The sequence below is a fragment of the Homo sapiens genome, chromosome X, assembly GCF_000001405.40.
Source record: "Homo sapiens chromosome X, GRCh38.p14 Primary Assembly".
In the NCBI taxonomy this organism is placed as follows: domain Eukaryota; kingdom Metazoa; phylum Chordata; class Mammalia; order Primates; family Hominidae; genus Homo; species Homo sapiens.
In genome coordinates this window covers 127,273,622-127,294,836 of record NC_000023.11, presented here as the reverse complement: position 1 = coordinate 127,294,836, position 21,215 = coordinate 127,273,622, and the positions used below count along the sequence as shown (strand labels likewise).

Below are 21,215 nucleotides of genomic sequence, written 5' to 3'. Positions count from 1 at the left end.
TTATCTGTAGAAATTAGTGAACTGTCATATCTCTAAGAAATAAGTTATTTTCCATACTTACAGATCTTAACAATAAGGGCCTATTTGCTACCTACAACTCCCTTAGTATCTTATTATTTAGACATGTAGCAGACAACTAATAAGATCACTAGGGAAAGAGCTGGCATATTATCATTGCAGATATGAAATCCAGATGCCATTTGCAACACATGGGCAGGTAGGATATTGATCTATATTTACTATTCAAATGGCTAGACATCATGGTAATATAAATATGATTTGTCACTTCATTATGTTCTCTTTCTTAACATTGCTAAGTGCCTTAATGTAAAGGTACTGTTTAAAAGTAACAGGTAACAATGCAATTTACAGCATTAGGTTGTTTTTCAAGTTTGTGTGAATATGACTGAGTGGACATATCTGGCAGTGACATTTTCTTGAGTCATGAGAAAATAATTATCTAGTATGTATGGGGAAACCTTTACATTTGTTAATAACTTCAAAGAAAATATATTTGTGGATGTATGAATAGCAAGTGTTTAACTATTAGAGACTATTGTTCACCAACAAGGATGCCAGAACATAACCTTCACCTCAAAAGTTTGAGGGTCCCCAAAACATCTCAATATTTTTAAACTAACCATGGTAGATTGCCAGTGGATCTATTGAGACACTTCTGGAAATGTTTTTTTTTTTTTTCCCCTCTAGGTTTCCTCCACAACTTCTCTACAGAGGAGTGGTTAGTGAGCTTGAACAGCTGAGCAATAATCCTCATGAGAGGTAAAGAGAGAGTTATTTTCAAATGTTCTCCTAGGAAGCCAGTATAAAAGCTGAGATCTCAACACATGATATATTTGCAATTATGTCAGTAGAAACTCAAATGCCAGATGTGCCCAAATAATCCACAACATGGAGTTGATAATATATCAGGGAAGCTGGTAAGCCCAAAGCTGTTGTATTACCTATTTGCAATGACAACAGTCCCCAAGCAATTTTAAATACAATGTGATTTGAACATCTAAAATTCAACAAATGTGGAAACCTCTGAACTTGTGGAGTTGCCTTTTCTTAGAGGACTGAAGTGATAGCATGGATAAGAAAACTATGGCTGGCAGAATAAGAGATTCAGGTAACCATGAAAATAACTTGCTAGACTCATGGGGGAAATACAGATACACCTGCGCTTCTGCAAAGTATTTGCTTTTTAAGAGCCAAGAATTACCTGTTGTGACAGGAAGCCTCACGTTGCTTGCTTGACTTCAGTGTTGAGCCTTCTGCTTTGGCATAGGAGGAGTGGAATGCTGAGCCTAATGAGTTTGAGAATTCAGCACACGCCAAAAGAACCAAACTGTTTCAATTGGTTCAGGTAGCTTTTACTACTCAGGATCTTGAAAATATTGATTCTGTAATAAGACCCAAAAAACAATGCCATCCCTGGAATATTCTTTTTCCTCTCCTACTTTTACAAGGGACCATTCTGATGAGAGGATACCATAAAATATATAGGTATAATTGTTATACATTGCGTGTGTGAGATTTTATATATCATGGATGAAATAATCTTAACCTTGAAAATAATTCATGCATGTGTAACTAATAACCACATTAACTATAAAAATAATATCAATAAAATAGACATTAAAAAGTATTAAGGGGATGCAATCCCATGCCATCAGGCATGTTTGAATTAGATGTCTTGCGACCACACTTCTTATAAATAATTCACTTCAATATTATATGCTCAACACTGTTTTCAGCATCGTAGGGGACACAAAATGAAGAGCAATGACTTTGTCTTCTAGCAAGAGGAAACTCACTTGATAACAACATATGTCCATGTTCTAGAAATTCTTAATGTCTATTTTATTGTAATCCCTTATTGGTTAAAGAGGGTATTGGTTACACATGCCTTAAAAATTTTCTAGGTGAACATAATCCATGCTATGTACAATATATTGTGGATACTTCAGTTCTATTATGTTAGATAGGTTTTGAAATTATTTTCCTATGAGATTGAAGGTCTTGTTCCTAGGGCATCTTACCACAGATCTTGAATGGTCTTCTTATACATCTCAAGGATTAAAAACAATATCAAGTTTTTGCATGCCCCCCAAGGAATGAGATAGGGAATGTACAAGATGATCTTAGATGTCTTCTTATACTAGAAAGTAAAAAAGTGTTCAAAAAATCATGGGGACATGTCAAAAGGACACAAAGTCATCTTGAAAAACCCTATACTGGGCCAATTGTGAAAACATTTAAACATCAAAATAAATACTAATAGTAATGGATTATAACTTATTGAATAGCGTAAGAATCCATACTTCCATAGTGATAAAAATAAGTAAATAGGTAAATGGGGGAGAAAAAATAGAATGCCAACTAGTAAATGTAGAAGGAATGATGGAATTAGAAAATTATCACTGAAATTTTAAGCTTGTGAGTGATAGTCTAATAAAGAACAGGATATCTATATCATCTCAAAGTATCTTCTCAAAAACTACCTATTAATTAAAAAGAGGGGAAAAGTGTCTTGAAAGTGGAGAAATCTGGAGGACAGCACCTTATATAAGTAATCAAAGTTAAAATCACCAATAATAAAATAAACTCATATCACTTGTTTTCTATTATGATGCCTTGGAATGGTTATATCACTTTCCTGTTATCCCTGCTAGAATGTATAAACTAAACATAATAATGAGAATGTATAAACTAAACATAATCATGAGAAAATATCTAATATTTAGGGATATACTTCAAAATAACAGGCCTGTATACTTCAAAAAATATTAAGGATTATAAAAAGAAGATAAGGAACTGATTCAAATTAAAAGAGACTGAGGAGATATGAAAACTAAATGTAATGCATGCTCCTGTATTCGATGATGAATAGGGAAATTGTATAGCTTTAACATACATTGTTTCAACAATGGTAAAAATGTATTTAGGGACTGTGGATTAGATAATAGTATTATAGCAGATATCAAATGTGCAGATTGTAATAATTATACTCTGGCTATGTAAGAGAATATTTTTACTTTTATTTTTAGAAGACAGGTACTGAAGTAATCAGGCATGTAAAGAACTGTTCAAGACAGCTGAGGCTGCCATAACAAGGCATCACAAACTGGGTGGTTTAAACAAACAAACAAATCCTTTCTCACAGTTCTAGAAGTTAGAAATACAAAATCAAGGTGTCAGTGAGGTTTGTTCCTTCTGAAGCTGTGAAAGAAAGATCTATTTCAGGTATCCCTCTTGAATTACAGATGATTGTCTTCTCCCTGTGTCTCATCACATGGTGTTCTACCTGTACCCCTGTGCCTACATTTTCCCCTTTCATAAGGACATCAATAATTTTGTATTGCAGTCAACTGTAATCATCCCTCATTAGCTTGGTTATCTCTGTAAAGACCTTATCTCCAAATAAGGTCACATTTTGAGGCCCTGGGGATTAGGACTTCAACATGTGTATTTTGGGTGACCACGTGTCAACCCATAACATTCAATATCTCCAATCCTCTGTTATTCTCAAATGAGTCAGAACAATATATTCATTTACAAAGATAAGTTCTAAAGTTATATTAGATAGAATGCATTTTAGATCGATATCTAATCTTTAAAAAATTAAATAGATTTTTTAACAAAAATAGTAATATTTCAGGTAGATGCTACGTGTGATTATTAGCTTTTTGTGTTAAATTAGCTAGAAGATAGTCCCCAATTATTTATAATAATCAAACAATAATCTGTGTATTACTGTGAACATATTCTTTGTATGTAGTTAACATCTACAATAAGTTGACTTTAAATCTAAAAAATTACACTGGATAATGTGAGTAGGACCTCACCCAGTTAGTTCAAAGGTTTTGAGAATGAAAATGGATGCTAACTGAAAAAAAGAGCAATTCTGCCTCAATACTGCAGCATCAACTCCTACTTGACTTTCCAGACTGCTGGCCTGCCCTACCAATTTCAGACTTGCCAGCCCCCACAACTGCGTGAGATAATTTCTCACAATAAATGTATTTCTACAGATAGGTAGAAAAATAAATAGACGGATAGACGCTTCTAGAGATAAATAGACTGAGATAATCTATAGACTTCTTTATCTACCAATCTATTTAAGATATATATGTTTATCTTTATTTGTATTAATTATCTATCAGTTCTCTCTCTCTCTCTGTCTGTCTCTCCTGGTTCTGTTTCTCTGGAAACCCCAAATGATATAGATTTTGGTACCAAGAGATTGTCACAGCAACATAATCTTAAAAATTAGTTTCTTAATTATTTGTTTTTTTTGGACATTCTTCTCTAACCTTATTAGATTTCAAGGCACTAATTACTCTATTTTTATTGGTAAAGAGGACACTGATAGTCAATGGCATAATGTGGCAATACAGATATGTGAAATATCACCTTTAAATACCCCTAATCTAATAGTTATTTTAAAAATAGAAAACTAAAACCCCTTACAAAAAGGCAAAGTTCTGAGTAACCAGGCATTCGATACCTTAGAACATTTTGTCAAACTAATGAGAATAATGTAACTGGCTGGTTTCTTCTAACTATGCTGTTGGAAGTGGATGGGCAGGAAGTGAAGCATGAGCTTAAGGCTTATAATTCCCAGCTAAAGGTCCAGATAAATTATCTGAAAGTTTTTATGTCTTCCCTGAGAAAACTCTATCTTCCATAGTCACAGGGTTGAGAGTGTTGAAAACCAAATCCAGAGACTCATCCTGTGAGTGAATAAATTACAAAGTGACTTGAATTCTCAACCTTGTAAAATATCTTCTGTTAAGACAAGAGTATTAGATGAGAAGGACTGAGAATCTTAAAATTGGACTGGGCACATATGGACAGATCCTGATGAAGCTGGGAATATTGAACCCCTAAATGTTGATGATTCTTCTTAGTAGGAGCAGCTTTTCTACCCCTGTTTGAGGAGGTTACCCTGTCTTTGCCTGAGGAATTTTAATGACCTTCCCAGAGGTAGTTCCCTTATAAGGCACTTCTGTGTCTCTTTAGGACCTACCCCTAATGTCTTTCTTTGCTTTTAGACCTATAACTAGGCACAAGTCCCAGCAGGCCCTAAAGGGTAAGGTACAAAGTGTTACCCATGAGGAAGTGCACTATACTCCAAAAGAACTGTATGATGTTTTCCAATTTATGAATAAACAAAAATGTGGAGAATATATACGGGAATGAATATTCGGGATGTGGAATAATGGTGAATGGAACATACCATTATATCAAGTTGAATTTTTTATATGGGCCCACAAAGCAGAGCGTATTCAATGTTGCAGCTTAAGTTAGAGCTTTCTAATAACTTGTTTGGATGGCTGGCTGAAATATGGACCAAAATGTGCCCATGCTAAATAAAAATAAAGTACCAGAACTTCCTTGGTATACTGTAGAAGAAGGTATCTAAAGGCTTAGGGAGATTGAAAACTTACAATGAATTTATTATGTAAAACTTGCTTACCCATTCCAGAAGGGTCTACAGAAGACTTCTGTCATTACAACTATGACATATAAAGTTGCAAGTGGAGCCCTGGCATTACTGAAAAACTCTGGCGTTTCTCCTTCCCTTAGGTTAGAAATTACAGTGGGAACTACTGCCAATGAATAAGGATGTCTAAATCAATGGGGTGACCACTAAACAGGAATCTTTAAATGGATTCTGGGGTTGCAGAGGCCAAGTGGCAACACTTAATTGCCAAAGTCAAGGTAGGTATGGTCACAGTAATTGGCAAGGGAAATAGATAGGCACACATCAAGAAAGCATTTCGTCAACTGCCTGTTTATCGTCAATGAAAATCCTGATCAAGTAGCCAATATGATTGGTCTTTGCAAACCAGACTGTAATTATTTCTTTATTGTCAATTATGTAATTGACTTCAAACACTTCTGTAATATGAATCACCAAAACAGAAAATTATAATCGCTCAATCAATCTTGAAACTTGAGTCACTTTACAGACCTACGACTTCTTGAATGAATGGGAGTCCAGGCTCCTGTGGAGAAGAACCCTACTATACTGCCAAAAATGTATACCATTAATCTTTCTCCCAGACTTCCCCAAATGAACCTAAAGTCTTCTATTAGGGTTACTGTGCATTGGGAAAAAGCAAATAATCAGACTTTTTGGGCATTAATTATTAGCCATAATTACACTGGTTCTGAACTCACACTAATTCCAGGTGGCCAAAAATACTACTAAGTGTAACCAGTCGAATTTTTGGTTTGTAGAGTTAGTGTGGTCAATGATGCTTTAGCTCAGATCCATCAAACAATGAGCTCAGAGGGTTTCCAAACCCATCTTTTGGTAAATCCCTCAGTTTCAGAATACATAATTGAAATAGAAATATCCAGCAACTGGCAGAATGAGGGCTACTATGGTAGGAAAGGCCAAGTTAAAGCCACTAGAACTGCCTCTACCTCGAAAAATTGTAAACAAAAGCAGTACCACATTTCTGGAGGAACTCCAGAGGTTAGTGTCACAACCATGGACTTGAAAGATACTCCCCCCCACATCTCATTAAACTCACCTATTTGTTCTGTGCAGAAAACACATAGATCTTAGAGAATGACAGTGGATTATTGTAAGCTTAACCAGGTCATAACTCCAATTACAGCCACTGTATCTGATGTGACTTAATTTCTTTAGCAAATTAACACATCCCCTGGCACCTAGTATGTGGGTATTGATCTAGCAAGTGCTTTTTTATTTACGTCTGTTAATAAAGACCACCAGAAGCAGTTGACTTTCCGCCGACAAGACCGGCAATACCCCTTTACTGTTATACTCCATGGGTATATCAATGCTCCAGCCCTATGCCATCATAGATGTAAGGAAAATTTGATTGCTTTTCTCTTCCATAAGACATTATGCTGGTCCATTACATTGATAGTATTTTGCTGATTGGATATAGTATGTAGAAAGTAGCAATTACTCTAGGATTATTGGTAAAAAATTTCCTTGTGTTAGAAGGTAACAAAATAAATTTCACAGAAATTTGGCGGCCTTCGATGTCAGTGAAATTTCTAGAGGTCCAGTGGTGTGGAGCATGTCACGATATACTTCCTGAGATGAAGAATACATGAGTGCATCTGAATCCTTGTGCAACCGAAAAAGAAAAATACACATCTAATGGGCCTCTTTAGCCATTGGAGGCAGTCATATCTCATTGAGGTATACCACTCCAGTACATTTTTCAACTGAAATAAAAAGCTACTAGTTTTAAGTGGTGTCCAGCACAAGAGAAGGCTTTCTAGAAGGCCCAGGTTGCTGTGCAAGCTGTTCTGTCACTTGGGCCACATGAGCCAACAGATCCAATGGTGCTTCAAGTGTCTATGGCAGATAGAGATGCTTTTTGAAGGTTTTGTCATTTTGATAAGTGGCTTTTTGCTTGGTACTGGGCCTTAGTAAATTATGAATGCTTGATTATGAACCACCAAGTTAACATATGACCTGAGTTTCTCATCATAAACTGGATATTGTCTAAGCCATGAATCTATAAAGTTGAGCTTGCACAACAGCATTGCATTATTAAATGGAAGTGACAAACAATATCATGATTGAGTAAACCCAAAGGCACAAGGAAGTTATGTAACAAAGTAGCCCCAATGCTTATAGTTTCGACGCTTGTTATATTACCTTTACTCACTCATCCCACTCTTACAGCCTCATGTGGAGTTCCTTGTGATTGTTTCACTGAATAAGAGAAAACTCAGGTCTGGTTTACAGATTGTTCTATATGATATGCAGTACCACCTGAAGGTGGACAGCTGCAGCACAGCAGCCCCTTTCTGAGACGTCTCTGAATGACAACGGTGAAGGAAAATTCTCTCAGTAGGCAGAAGCTCAAGCTGGTTTTAAATTTTAGGAAGAGGAGAAAATTCCCAGATGGATGGAGAAAAAAATTAAATGGATAGAATGACCAATTCTGATGATAGCAATCAGACTTTTTTTCCAAGACACTCCTGTATTAACCAGTGGGCTCATAACAATGGCCATGATGGCAGAGAGGGAGATTATGCATTGCTCAGCAACAGAAACTTCCACGCATCAAGGTTGATTTTGTTACCACCACTGCTGAGTGTCTAATTTGCTAGCAGCAGAAACCAACACTGAGTCTCTGATATGGACTATTCACCAGATGAACAGACAGCTATTTGGTAACTGATTAATTACATTTAACCATTTCTATTATGAAAGAAGCAGCACTCTGTTATGTGACTGGAATGGACATTTACTTTAGAAAAATATTTGCCTTCCCTGAACACAATGATTCTGAAAAAACTATCATCTGCAGACTTACAGAATACCTTACACACTACCATGGTATATAATACACCATTATTTATGATTAAATAATTCACTTCACAGCAATTATAGGCAATATGCTTATGTTCATGGAATTCAATAATTTTACTGTGTTTCTCACCATGCTGCAGCAGCTGGCCTGATAACTCAGTGTAATAATCTTTTGATGAGTCAGTGATGGTGGCAGCTAAGTAGCAGTAACTTGCAGGGCTGGGGCAAGGTTCTCCAGGAAGATGTATATGCTCTGAATCAGTGTCCAACATATAATGCTGGTTCTACTATACACGCAATATGTGTGTCAAAAAATCAAGGGTAGAAATGGGAGTGACACCACTCACTACTGCCTCTGTTGACCCATGAACAAAATTGTTTCTTCTTGTTCAGATGAATTTATGCTGTATTGGCCAAGAGATTATAGTTCCAGAGGGAAGACTGCTTCTACCAGAAGACCCAAGAATGATTTCATTGAAATAGAAGTTAAGACTGCTACCCATCTACTTTGGGCTTCTCATGCCTCTAAGTAAATTTTGCTTATTTTTAGTTACTGTGCTAATTGGAACAATTGATCCTGACTGCCAAGAATAAATCGGACTGTTGCTATACAATAGAGGTAAGGGAAGACTATGTCTGGGAGGCAGGAGATATTTTTGGATATCTGTTAGTGCTACCATGCCCTGTGGTTAAAGTCAATGGAAAACTATGACAACCAAATCCAGGCAGGACTACCAGTAGCCAAGACCCTACAAGAATGAAGGTTTGTGTTACCCACCAGACAAAGAACCATGGCCAACTGACATTCTTGCTGAGAACAAAGAATGCAAGCAATGGAAAGTGGGAAAAGGTAAGTATAAATAGAAGCTACAACCATGCAATCAGTTTTTAGTTATGAGTACTGTAATAATTTTCAATATGTATGCTGAATTTTGTTTTGAGTGTATATAAAATTTTTGTTTTCTTCTTTATTATCCCCTTATCCTATAACATAAGATGTTTTAATAATGGTTAACTTTACATCACAGTAATTAAGTTACTGGATGTATTAGTTTGATAGGACCACAATAACAAACCACCACAAACTGAGCAGATAAAACAAGATAAATTTATGTTCTCACAGTTCTGGAGTCTATAATTTTGAAATCAGGTTGTCAGGAGGGTTGGTTCTTTCTGAGGGCTGTAAGGGAAAATCCTGTTCCAGGCCTTACTCCTCCACTTTCCTGGATAAACAAAAGCCAAAGAAGCCTATTACCACTAGACCTACTCTATAAGAAATGCTAGTGGGAGTCCTTCAATTTGAAACAAAAAAGGCAGTAGGCAGTAACACAAAGCCATCCAAAAATATAAAGCTCTCTAGTAATGGTAAATACATGGGCTAATATATCCTGTACTGTTGTGATTTTGGTCCATATAATTTTAATGATAAAAACATTAAAAGTCAATGTTAATGTATATACAACATAGAAAGATATACTTTGTGACATTGATAACATAAAGTGTGGAAGATGGAGCAGTAAAGTAGTTGAATTTTATATGTTATCAGTTTAAATTGTTATCAGTTTAAAATGGAATTCTGTAACCACGATGTTTTATGTAATCACAGTAATAACTACAAAATATACATGAAAGGAGATAATAAGGCATTAAAAGCACATCAATACAAAAAGTCAACAGAACACAAAGGAAGTCAGTAAGAGGGGAAATGCACAAAACAGCTACCAGACATATGGAAAACAATGAACTAAATGGCAACAGTAAGTCCTTCCCTATCAGTAATTACTTTAAATGTAAATGGATGAATCTCTTCAATCGAAAGATACAGACAGGCTGAATGAATTTAAAAAACAGGATCCAACTATATGCTCTCTCCAGGACATTCACTTTATTTTTATTTACTTATTTTTTATTTTTTTTTATTTCCATAGGTTTTCAGGGAACAGGTGGTATTTGGTTACATGAGTAAGTTCTTTAGTGGTGATTTGTGAAATATTGGTGCACCCATCACCTGAGCAGTATACACTGAACCCGATTTGTAGTCTTTTATCCCTCAACCCCCTCCCACTGTTTCCCCCTGAGTCCCCAAAGTCCATTGTGTCATTCTTATGACTTTGCATCCTCATAGTTTAGCTCCCACTTATGAGTGAGAATATACGATGCTTGTTTTTTTATTCCAGAGTAACTTCACTTAGAATAATAGTCTCCAATCCCATCCAGGTTACTGTGAATGCCATTAATTCATTTATTTTTATGGCTGAGTAGTATTCCATCATATATATACCACAGTTTCTGTATCCACTCTTTGATTGATGAGCATTTGAGTTGGTTTCACATTTTTGCAATTGAAAATTATGCTGCTATAATCATGCGTGTGCAAGTACCTTTTTTATATAATGACTTCTTTTCCTCTGGGTAGACACTCAATAGCAAGATTGCTGAATCAAATGGTAGTTCTATTTTTAGTTCTTTAAAAAGTCTCCACACTGTTTTCCATAGTCGTTGCACTACTTTACTTTCCCACCAGCACCATAGAAGTGTTCCTTTTTCACTGCATCAATGCCAACATCTATTTTTTTTATTTTTGAATTATGACCATCATTACCAGAGTAAGGTGGTATCCCATTGTGTTTTGATTTGCATTTCCCTGATCATTACTGATGTTGAGCATTTTTTCATGTTTGCTGGCCATTTGTATATCTTCTTTTGAGAATTGTTTATTGATGTCCTTAGCCCACTTTTTGATGGAATTTTTTTCTTACTAATTTGTTTGAATTCATTGTAGATTCTGGATATCAGTCCTTTGTTGGATGTATAGATTGTGACGATGTTCTCCCACTCTGTGTGTTGCCTGTTAAATCCGCTGACTGTTCCTATTGCCATGTGAAAGCCCTTTAATTCAGTTAATTCTCACGTATTTACCTTTGTTTTTATTGCATTTCCTTTGGGGTTCTTGTTCATGAAGTCCTTGCATAAGCCAATGTCTAAAAAGGTTTTTCCAATGTTATCTTCTAGAATTTTTATAGTTTCAGGTCTTCGATATAAGTCTGATCCATCTTGAGTTGATTTTTGTATAAGGTGAGAGATGAGGACCCAGTTTAATTCTCCTATATGTGGCTTGCCAATTATCCCAGCACCATTTGTTGAATAGGTTGTCCTTCCCCCACTTTATGTTTTTGTTTGCTTTATCAAAGATCAGTTGGCTGTAAGTATTTGGGTTTATTTCTGGGTTCTCTTTTCTGCTCCATTGGTCTGTGTGCCTATTTTTATACCCGTACCATGCTGTGTTGGTGATTATGACCTTATAGTATAGTTAGAAATCAGGTAATGTGATGCCTCAGGATATGTTCTCTTTGCTTAGCCTTGGTTTGGCTGTGAGCGCTCTCTTTTTGTTCCATATGAATTTTAGGATTTTTTTTCTAGTTCTGTGAAAAATGACGCTGATATTTTGATGGGAATTACATTGAATTTGTAGATTGCTTTTGGCAGTATGGTCATTTTCACAATATTGACTCTACCCATCCAAGAGCATGGAATGTGTTTGCATTTGTTTGTGTCATCTATGATTTCTTTGAACAGTGTTTTGTAGTTTTCCTTATAAAGGTCCTTCACCTCCTTGGTTAAGTATATTCCTAAGTAGGGTTGAGTTCTTGATTTGATTCTCAGCTTGATTGCTGTCGGTATATGGCAGAGCTACTAATTTGTGTACATCAATTTTGTATCCTAAAACTTTGCTGAATTCTTTTTTTGTTTGTTTTGTTTGTCTGTTTGTTTGTTTTTTGAGACCGAGTCTCACTCTGTCACCCAGGCTGGAGTGCAATGGCGCCAGTCTTGGCTCACTGCAACTTCTGCCTCCTGGGTTCAAGAAATTCTCCTGTCTCAGCCTCCGAAGTGGCTGGTATTACAGGTACCCATCACCATACCCGGTCAATTTTTAGTATTTTTAGTAGAGACAGGTTTTCGCCATGTTGGCCAGGCTGGTCTTGAACTCCTGACCTCAGGTGATCCACCTGCCTCGGCCTCCCAAAGTGCTGGGATTACAGATGTGAGCCACCACGCCCAGCCATTGCTGAATTATTTTATCAGTTATAGATGCTTTATGGCGCAGTCTTTAGGGTTTTTTAGGTATGCAGTTATATCATCAGAAACAGTGACAGTTTGATTCTCTACCGATTTGGATGCCCTTTATTTCTTTCTCTTGTCTGATTACTCTGGCTAGGATTTCCAGTACTGTGTTGAATGGAAGTTGTGAATGTGGGCATCCTTGTCTTTTTCCAGTTCTCAGAGGGAATGCTGTCAACTTTTTCCCATTCAGTATTATGCTGGCTGTGAGTTTGTCATAGGTGGATTTTATTTCATTAAGGTATGTCCCTTGTATGCCAGTTTTGCTGAGGGCTTTAATCATAAATGGATGCTGGATTTTGTCAAATGCTTTTTCTGCATCTATTGAGATGATCATGTCATTTTTGTTTTTAATTCTGTTTATGTCGTGTATCACATTTATTGACTTGTGTATGTTAAACCATCCCTGCATCCCTGGTGTGAAACCCACTTGATCATGGTGGATTATCTTTTTGATATGTTGTTGGATTTGGTTAGCTAGTATTTTGTTAAGGATTTCAACATCTATGTTCATCAGGGATATTGGTCTGTAGTTTTCTTTTTTTGTTATGTCCTTTCCTGGTTTTGGTATTAGGGTGATACTGGCTTTATAGAATGATTTAGGGAGGATTCCTTTTTTATCTATCCTGTAGAGTAGTGTCAATAGAATTGGTACCAATTATTATTTGAATGTCTGGTAGAATTCAGCTGTGAATCCCCCTGGTCATGGACTTTTTTTGTTGTTGGTAATTTATTATTATTATTATTATACTTTAAGTTGTGGGATACATGTGCAGAATGTGCACGTTTGTTACATAGGTATACACAGGCCATAGTGGTTTGCTGCACCCATCAACCCATCATCTACATTAGGTATTTCTCCTAATGCTATCATTCCCCTAGTCCTGCACCCCTCAACAGACCCAAGTATGTGAAGTTCCCCTCCCATTTTTCCATGTGTTCTCATTGTTCAACTCCCACTTATGAGTGAGAATATGCGGTGTTTGGTTGTCTGTTCCTGTGTTAGTTTGCTGAGAATGATGGTTTCCAGCTTCATCCATGTCCCCTAGGAGGGACTTATATTTTCAGGAATTTATTCATCTCCTGTAGATTTTCTAGTTTATGATGCAAAGGTGTCCATAGTATCCTTGAATGATCTTTTGTCTTTGTGGTGTCACCTGTAATAGCTCCCATTTCATTTCTCACTGAGCCTATTTGGATTTTCTCTCTTCTTTTCTTGGTTAATCTTGCTAATGGCCTATCAATTTCATTTATCTTTTCAAAGAAACAGGCTTTATTTCATTTATCTTTTGTATTGTTTTTCTTCTTTTAATTTCATTTGATTTCTGCTCTGATCTTTGTTATTTCCTTTCTTCTGCTGGGTTTGGATTTGGTTTGTTCTCATTTCTCTATTTTCTTGAGGTGTGACCTCAGATTTTTTATTTGCACTCTTTCAGGCTTTTTGATTTGGCATTTATGGCTATGAACTTTTCTCTTAGCACTTCCTTTGCTATATCCCAAAGGTTTTGATAGATTGTGTCACTATTATCATTCAGTTCAAAGAATTTTTTAATTTCCGTCTTGACTTTATTGTTGACCCAATAATCTCTCAGGAGCAGGTTACTTAATTTCCACGTATTTGTATGGTTTTGAACATTCCTTTTGGAGTTGATTACTAGTTTTATTCCACTGTGGTCTGAAAGAGTACTAGATATAATCTCAATTTTGTGAAATTTATTAAGACTTGTTTTGTGGCCTATTATATGGTCTATCTTGGAGAAAATTCCATGTGCTGATGAATAGAATGTATATTCTATGGTTGTTGGGTAGAATGATCTGTAAATAGCTGTTAAGTCCATTTGTTCCAGGGTATAACTTAAATCTATTGTTTCTTTGTTTATTTTCTGTCCTGATGACCTGCCTAGTGCTGTCAGTGGAGTATTGAACTCTCCCAATATTTTTGTGTTGCTGTCTATCTCATTTCTTAGGTCGAGTAGTAATTGTTTTATAAATTTGGTAGCTCCAGTATTAGGTGGATATATATTTAGGATTGTGATATTTTCCTGTTGGACAAGGCCTTTTATCATTATATAATGTCCCTCTTTGTCTTTTTTACTGCTATTGCTTTAAGGTTTGTTATGTCTGACATAAAAATAGCTACTACTGCTCACTTTTGGTGTCCATTTGCATGGAATGTCTTTTTCCACCCCTTTACCTTAAGTTTATGTGAGTCCTTATGTGTTAGGTGAGTCTCTTGAAGGCAGCAGATAGTTGGTTAGTGAATTTTTTTTTCCATTCTGCAATTCTGTCTTTTAAGTGAAGCATTTAGGCCATTTACATTGAACGTTAATATTGAGATGTGAGGTACTATTCTATTCATCATGCTATTTGTTGCCTGTATACCTTAGGGCTTTGGTTGTTTGTTTTTTACTGTATCTTTGTTTTATAGGCCCTGTGACATTTATGCTTTATAGAGATTCTGTTTTGATGTGTTTTCAGGATTTGTTTTAAGACTTAGAGCTCTTTTTTAGCAATTCTTGTAGTGCTGGCTTGGTAGTGGTGGATTCTCTCAGCACTTGTTTGTTGGAAAAAGACTGTCTTTCCTTCACTTATGAAGCTTACTTTTGCTGAATACAAAATTATTGGCTGATAATTGTTTTGTTTGAGGAGGCTGAAGATAGGGCTCCAATCCCTTCTAGTTTGTAGGGTTTCATCTGAGAAATCTGCTGTTAATCTGACAGGTTTTTCTGTATAGGTTACCTGGTGCTTTTGTCTCACAACTCTTAAGATTCTTCCTTTGTCTTGACTTTAGATAACCTGATAACGAAGTGCCTAGGTGATGGTCTTTTTATGATGAGTTTCCCAGGTGTTCGTTGAGATTCTTATATTTGGATGTCTAGGTCTCTAGAAAGGCTGGGGAAGTTTTTCTCAATTATTCCCCCAAATATGTTTTCCAAACTTTTAGTTTTCTCCTCTTCCTCAGGAATGCCTATTATTCTTACGTTTGGTCATCTATCATAATACCAAACTTCTTGGATGCTCTCATTATTTTTTTATTCTCTTTGTGAGTTTTTGTTGGATTGGGTTAATTTGAAAACTTTCTCTTGGAGCGCTGACGTTCTATATTTTTTTTTTTTTTTGAGACAGAGTCTTGCCAGGCTGTCACCCAGGCTGGAGTGCAGTGGTGCAATCTCAGCTCACTGCAAATGTCTGCCTCCCAGGTTCAAGCAATTCTCCTGCCTTAGCCTTCTGAGTAGCTGGGATTACAGGCACATGCCACTATACCTGGCTAATTTTTGTATCTTTAGTAGAGACAGGTTTCACCATGTTGGCCAGGCTGCTCTTGAACTCCTGACCTCAGGTGATCCACCCTTCTCAGCCTCCCAAAGGGCTGGGATTACAGGCATGAGCCACCATGCCCAGCCTGAAGTTCTTTCTTTCTTTTTTTTTTTTTTTTTGAGATGAAGTCTCACTCTCTTGCCCAAGGTGGAATGCGGTGGTGCCATTTCAGCTCACTGCAACCTCCACCTCCTGGGTTCAAATGATTCTCCTGCCTCAGCCTCCCAAGTAGCTGGGATTAAAGGCACATGCCATCATGTCTGGCTAATTTTTGTATTTTTATTAGAGACAGGATTTCACCATATTGGATAGGCTGATCTTGAACTCCTGACCTCCAGTGATCCTCCTACCTTGGCCTCCCAATGAGCTCTAAAGTTCTTCCTTTTTCTTCTTCGATTCTACTGTTGAGACTTTCCAGAACATTTTGCATTTCTCTAAGTGTGTCCTTTGTTTCCTGATGCTGTGATTATTTTTTATTTATGTTATCTATTTCACTGGAGATTTCACTGGAGATTAATGACATTTACATTAGGTATTTCTCCTAATGCTATCCTTCCCCCAGCTCCCCACCTGCCGACAGTCTCCCGTGTGTGATGTTCCCTACCCTGTGTCCATGTGTTCTCACTGTTCAACTTCCACCTATGAGTGACAACATGAGGTACTCTAGTTTTAAAAGTCCAGTCACCTAGTTGTTTGACCTCCCACTGAATTCCTCTTTTCAGTCATTCATAGTTCCTCTAATTCAGTCTTTCCTCAATTTTTCCTAAGATAAAAGCACAGATTTGTGCTACTTAAAGTAAAAATTGCCAAGTTACTCCCTCTGATTCAGTAAGTCTAGGGATGAGCCCAAGATTCTGTATTTTAAAAGAGATGCTTTAAGTGTTTCTTTTCCGTCAGACAAATTTTTGAAGCGTAAAGCAAATTTTACTTTATTTGCAGAGTAAAATAATTGCCTACTCTAAACAGTGAATACTTAAGCTGCATGAAAACAATTACTGACTTCTTCCTTTCCCTCTATAGCAGAGGTTATTAAACTTGTCATGGTACTCATCTCCTTGACACTTTGGTGAAATCTACAGACCCCTTCACAATAATATTTTTAAATGCATAAAATAAAATACAAGGATGACAAACCAATTATACTGAAATGAAGATATAAAAATATTGTATAACATAAATTGTATCATGATAATATATGCAGTGAATTATTAATACATTAAGTAAAAATATCCAGGATTTCAAAGTAATGCTTTTAGTGATATTGGCAAAAGCTGTAATGTTATGTAAAATAATATCTATGATTTCTATTGGTGACCAAGTTAAGGTTCTGATAATAACACTGTGGACTGTTAGCAGCATTCATTAATTGGAAGAAGTGCTTAATTTCTATGAAAGGTTAATTAAAATAAAAATGTGTTTTTTAATTCAATTTCAAGGACTTTCTGAATGCCCTAACTTTAAGGAATTTTGCTCTAGAGGCTCTTCCTGAAATCTTTCAAGCAGATCCCCTTAGACAGATAGAGCTAGAGGGAGTTGATGAGATGTAGAGAAGAGATTGGGGAGGTTAACGCATTTCTATTTACGGAGGGGTAAACAGACCTGTACCCAACACTGAAAATGTCAAATGACTGATTCGTTGCCAGCTGGTGGTGTTCTTACTGGGTCTTCTTGGTGTGTATGTGGAGTCCAATTAGCTGGAGAAAGAATCAGGAGCCACTAGCCTCACTGTTTTATTTGATCAGTTGGTCTTGCCTGATTTTCTCTTTAGAACTTTTGCGATCTTCACCCCACATTTCACCTTCCTTATCTGAGACCATCTACCTTTTCCATAGCCTAGACTAGAAAGCCATTTATGTAATAATGTAGCTTACATTGGGAGCTGTCCCTTCAGCTTATGTTTTTCTTTGCCTTTGAGAGCAAATAAGTTTTATATGGCTAGTAAGTTTTTGAAATACACATACATGTATCACTAAACATAACTCAGATGATCTTCTGACATACTGCAGTCTGCCAAAAGAAAATTTCCAGAGCAGCTGCAGTCAACTTAGATGTTTTGTTTTGTTTTTTTGTCTTTCTCTTCATCCATGGGACAATGTGTTTAATTTTGGTTAGAAATAATTTAGGTCACAACAAATGAAGTAAGTTTCCAAACATCTCCTATGTTGTAATCATTTTAAAAATATTTCTGAGAGAAAGGAATCATCATTATGGTAACTGCCCTTTTAGCCCTTCTTACCCATAACATTACTCCTACACAATGTGCTTACTTAGATAAAATAATTCAAAAGTAACTTTTTGAAGCTTCTCACCATAAATAAGGCTTTGCACATCATATTGCATCAGAGAAATCACCCCATATAAGACAAGCACAATTATTTTTTAAATACCCCCCTGCATAAAGATAAGTGGACTTCTATGGCAACGACATTTTGGATAGGGAATATGTTTGACTTAAACTAAGGAGAACATTTTTGGTAATACGCACTGTCTTTTTTTCTCTAAGAGCCTGGTTGGCCAGTAATCTGACTAGAAACTGTCAACAAATATTGCTCTGTTACATTCTACATAACTCAGTTACCATGGCAACTGTATCCCTACTGACAAGAAAGAAAGATAAACATATGGTTGGGTAGCAGTCTTACTTCAAGAAGCATAAAATCTATTTACAGGATCATCATTCTTTCTGAGAGAAGTAAGGTCTTCAAAACCAAAAGCAGCTTTAATCAAATATTCTTATGGACTGTTAAAAATGTTTCTTTTTTTGCTAATAAGAAAAAAAATAATGTTGTTTTGCAATATTTTCAGAATGTTTTATTTATTTTCAAAAATCAATATAAGCCAATGAAAGTCCATTTATAATCAAACGTGCATTGCACCTTGCATAGCTTATTCTTACTACTAAAAAATATTCAGGCAGCATTTCCGAAGTACCTACCATGTACATAACAGAATACTAAGCTCTGTGGTCTAATATAATATCTTGTCCATCAGTTTCATATACGTTATTAAAGAAGATAAATTCATACACAAATTACTGAAGAGTGAAGAATATAAAAATGTAAGTGACATAACAAAGCAATAAATGGCATTTATAGAAACATAGAGAAATATTAATTAGGTGATCTTTTCTCTGGGTTTCCACGGAAACTTGTCCATTCCTCCAATATTGCAATTACCACATGGTGTACCTTATACATAGTATTTAATTAATAAATGTATGTTTCTTACTGACAATTTTATTGATGATCTCTTTGCATATCTATTTATCCATAAGACTATAATCAAATTTTACTCTAGGTATGTGTAGCTAGAATCTAGCATTGTGCCTAATGAATGATAAACCTTAAAAATATATTAAATGTGTTAATGATTTGGAAGGTTGAATTTTTACCTGAGTCTTGAAAAATCAATACCTTTTCTACATTTAGAAATAGGTTATAGATATATTTCTACTTTTTCTAACTTAATAATTCTAAATTTTCCCAAAACATGGGTAAATTTGCAAATTGCTATTAAATTTCATTAGGTCTCTTCAAAATGTTCTGCCTATTTGGATATCCAGAGAGTAATATTAGGTTGGTGCAAAAATCACTGCGGTTTTTGCCATGGAAAGTAATGCCAAACCCCAATTAGTTTTGCACCAACCTAATAAAAATAATGTATTTGATAAAAAGCCTATAGACTTCATCATCAGCATGCTAGAGGTAATATCTTTACATGCATCTAATAATAAAATGTGTCTGGTTTTATATGGGGAAAACATAAGAATAAGGATATTAGTAATTGATAGCAAATTGGGAGAAACCTCAAGTATTACCATTTCTTGTCTTACTAGTAAAATTACAACGGACTTTGTCACTTAAAGTCTACATTTTGTTGGCAAGACCTTCATTTTGAGCCTTAGTCTCTTCTCTTGGAGAATAGGGGTTTTAAACTAGTGATCATTAATATTCTGTGAAACTCTGATGGACTGTGACTCAGCTTCAGTATAAGTTTAAAAATTACAAAGGAATGAAAAATGTGAATCGTATCATCAGTTTATGTGGTGCTATTAAAGCCTACTACTAGGCCGGGTGCGGTGGCTCACGCCTGTAATCCCAGCACTTTGGGAGGCCGAGGCGGGTGGATCACAAGGTCAGGAGATCGAGAGCATCCTGGCTAACACAGTGAAACCCCGCCTCTACTAAAAAAAAACCAAAAAATTAGCTGGGTGTGGTGGCGGGCACCTGTAGTCCCAGCTACTCGGGAGGCTGAGGCAGGAGAATGGCGTGAACCCAGGAGGCGGAGCTTGCAGTGAGCCCAGATCGTGCCACTGCACTCCAGCCTAGTCGACAGAGCGAGACTCTGCCTCAAAAAAAAAAAAAAAAAAAAAAAAAAAAAAGCCTACTACTTAATACACCATTTTCTCTAAAGCATGATAAATAGAATACATCTGGGTTAGGTTTTAACTTTGTAATACCGGTTTATAAAAGATATGTGATATTTATAAATGAAAGTTTTGCTAAAGTAAAAAAACAAGGTTTGGGGGGGTACTAAGACTATTTAGACTAAAGCTGTTCAATGGAACACCCTCCTCCAAACACACACACACACACACACACACACACATACACACACCACAGCCTTATGCTGACCTATGTGCATGTGTTTCTTTGACAGGTAAACTGTCATTCATTTTTCAAGCTCCAACTCAAACGACAACTTCCCTCTATCTAGTAGTCCTGTCCAATAGAACTTTGTGACAATGGGAAAGGTCTACATATCAGTAGTGTGAAATGTAGTAGGCACAAGCCACATGTGGATATTGACCACTAGAAATGTGGCTAGCACACTGAGGAACTGAATTTTAATTTTAATTAATTTTAATATTAATATAAATAACCACATGTGGCAAGTAGATACTGTGTTGGACAGCTCAAATTGAGATTTAAAAGAAAAAAATATTTCAATGGCCTGAAACATTTCCCAAGTGAGATGTGAATTTTAACTTATTCTTAAGTATTTATTGAATCAGTCAGTAAGGCACGAACCTAGTGGGAATTACTTCCCACCTTTGAAGATAATCAAACTGTATTGCCTTAAAATTATTTAGAATTTACAACTCTCACTATTTTGTGAGACTCAAATTAGAGAAATACTAATATTTCTCTAATTTCCTTACTCAAGTATTTTACTTGACAGTTTGAAATTCATTTTTATATCCTGAATTTTATATAAGATTCAGAACAACCTAGAAATATGGGCAAGTTTTTTTTAAATTCTACAGATAAAATCTGGAGCATGAAGAACTGTGAAAGACAATATGACTTGTAATTTGCAGAGCCAAAATCCTAATTTGGGCCTCCTAATTTTTAAAAATTAGCCTCCATTCTATTATAAGCTGAGTGTAATGTATTAAGTGTTTTGGTAAAACTTCACTTGAAATTGATGAGGACTTCTTTTTCTCATTAAATTCCCATCA

General features: G+C 36.0%; 1 long non-coding RNA gene across 6 annotated transcripts in view; it reads left to right on the top strand.

Moving 5' to 3' along the window:
• The window catches only part of LOC107985709 (uncharacterized), a 56,466-nt gene that overhangs the window by 8,755 nt on the left and 26,496 nt on the right, over window positions 1-21,215 (top strand). For 2 of the 6 annotated variants that reach the window (XR_001755952.1, XR_001755955.1), the window contains exons 3-5: window positions 709-780; window positions 5,593-5,727; window positions 8,711-9,167. The exons of 3 other annotated variants lie outside the window; for them this stretch is intronic. This is a non-coding gene — a long non-coding RNA (uncharacterized LOC107985709). The remainder of the gene's footprint in view (window positions 1-708; window positions 781-5,592; window positions 5,728-8,710; window positions 9,168-21,215) is intronic. One more of the 6 variants, XR_007068367.1, reaches the window with a different exon arrangement.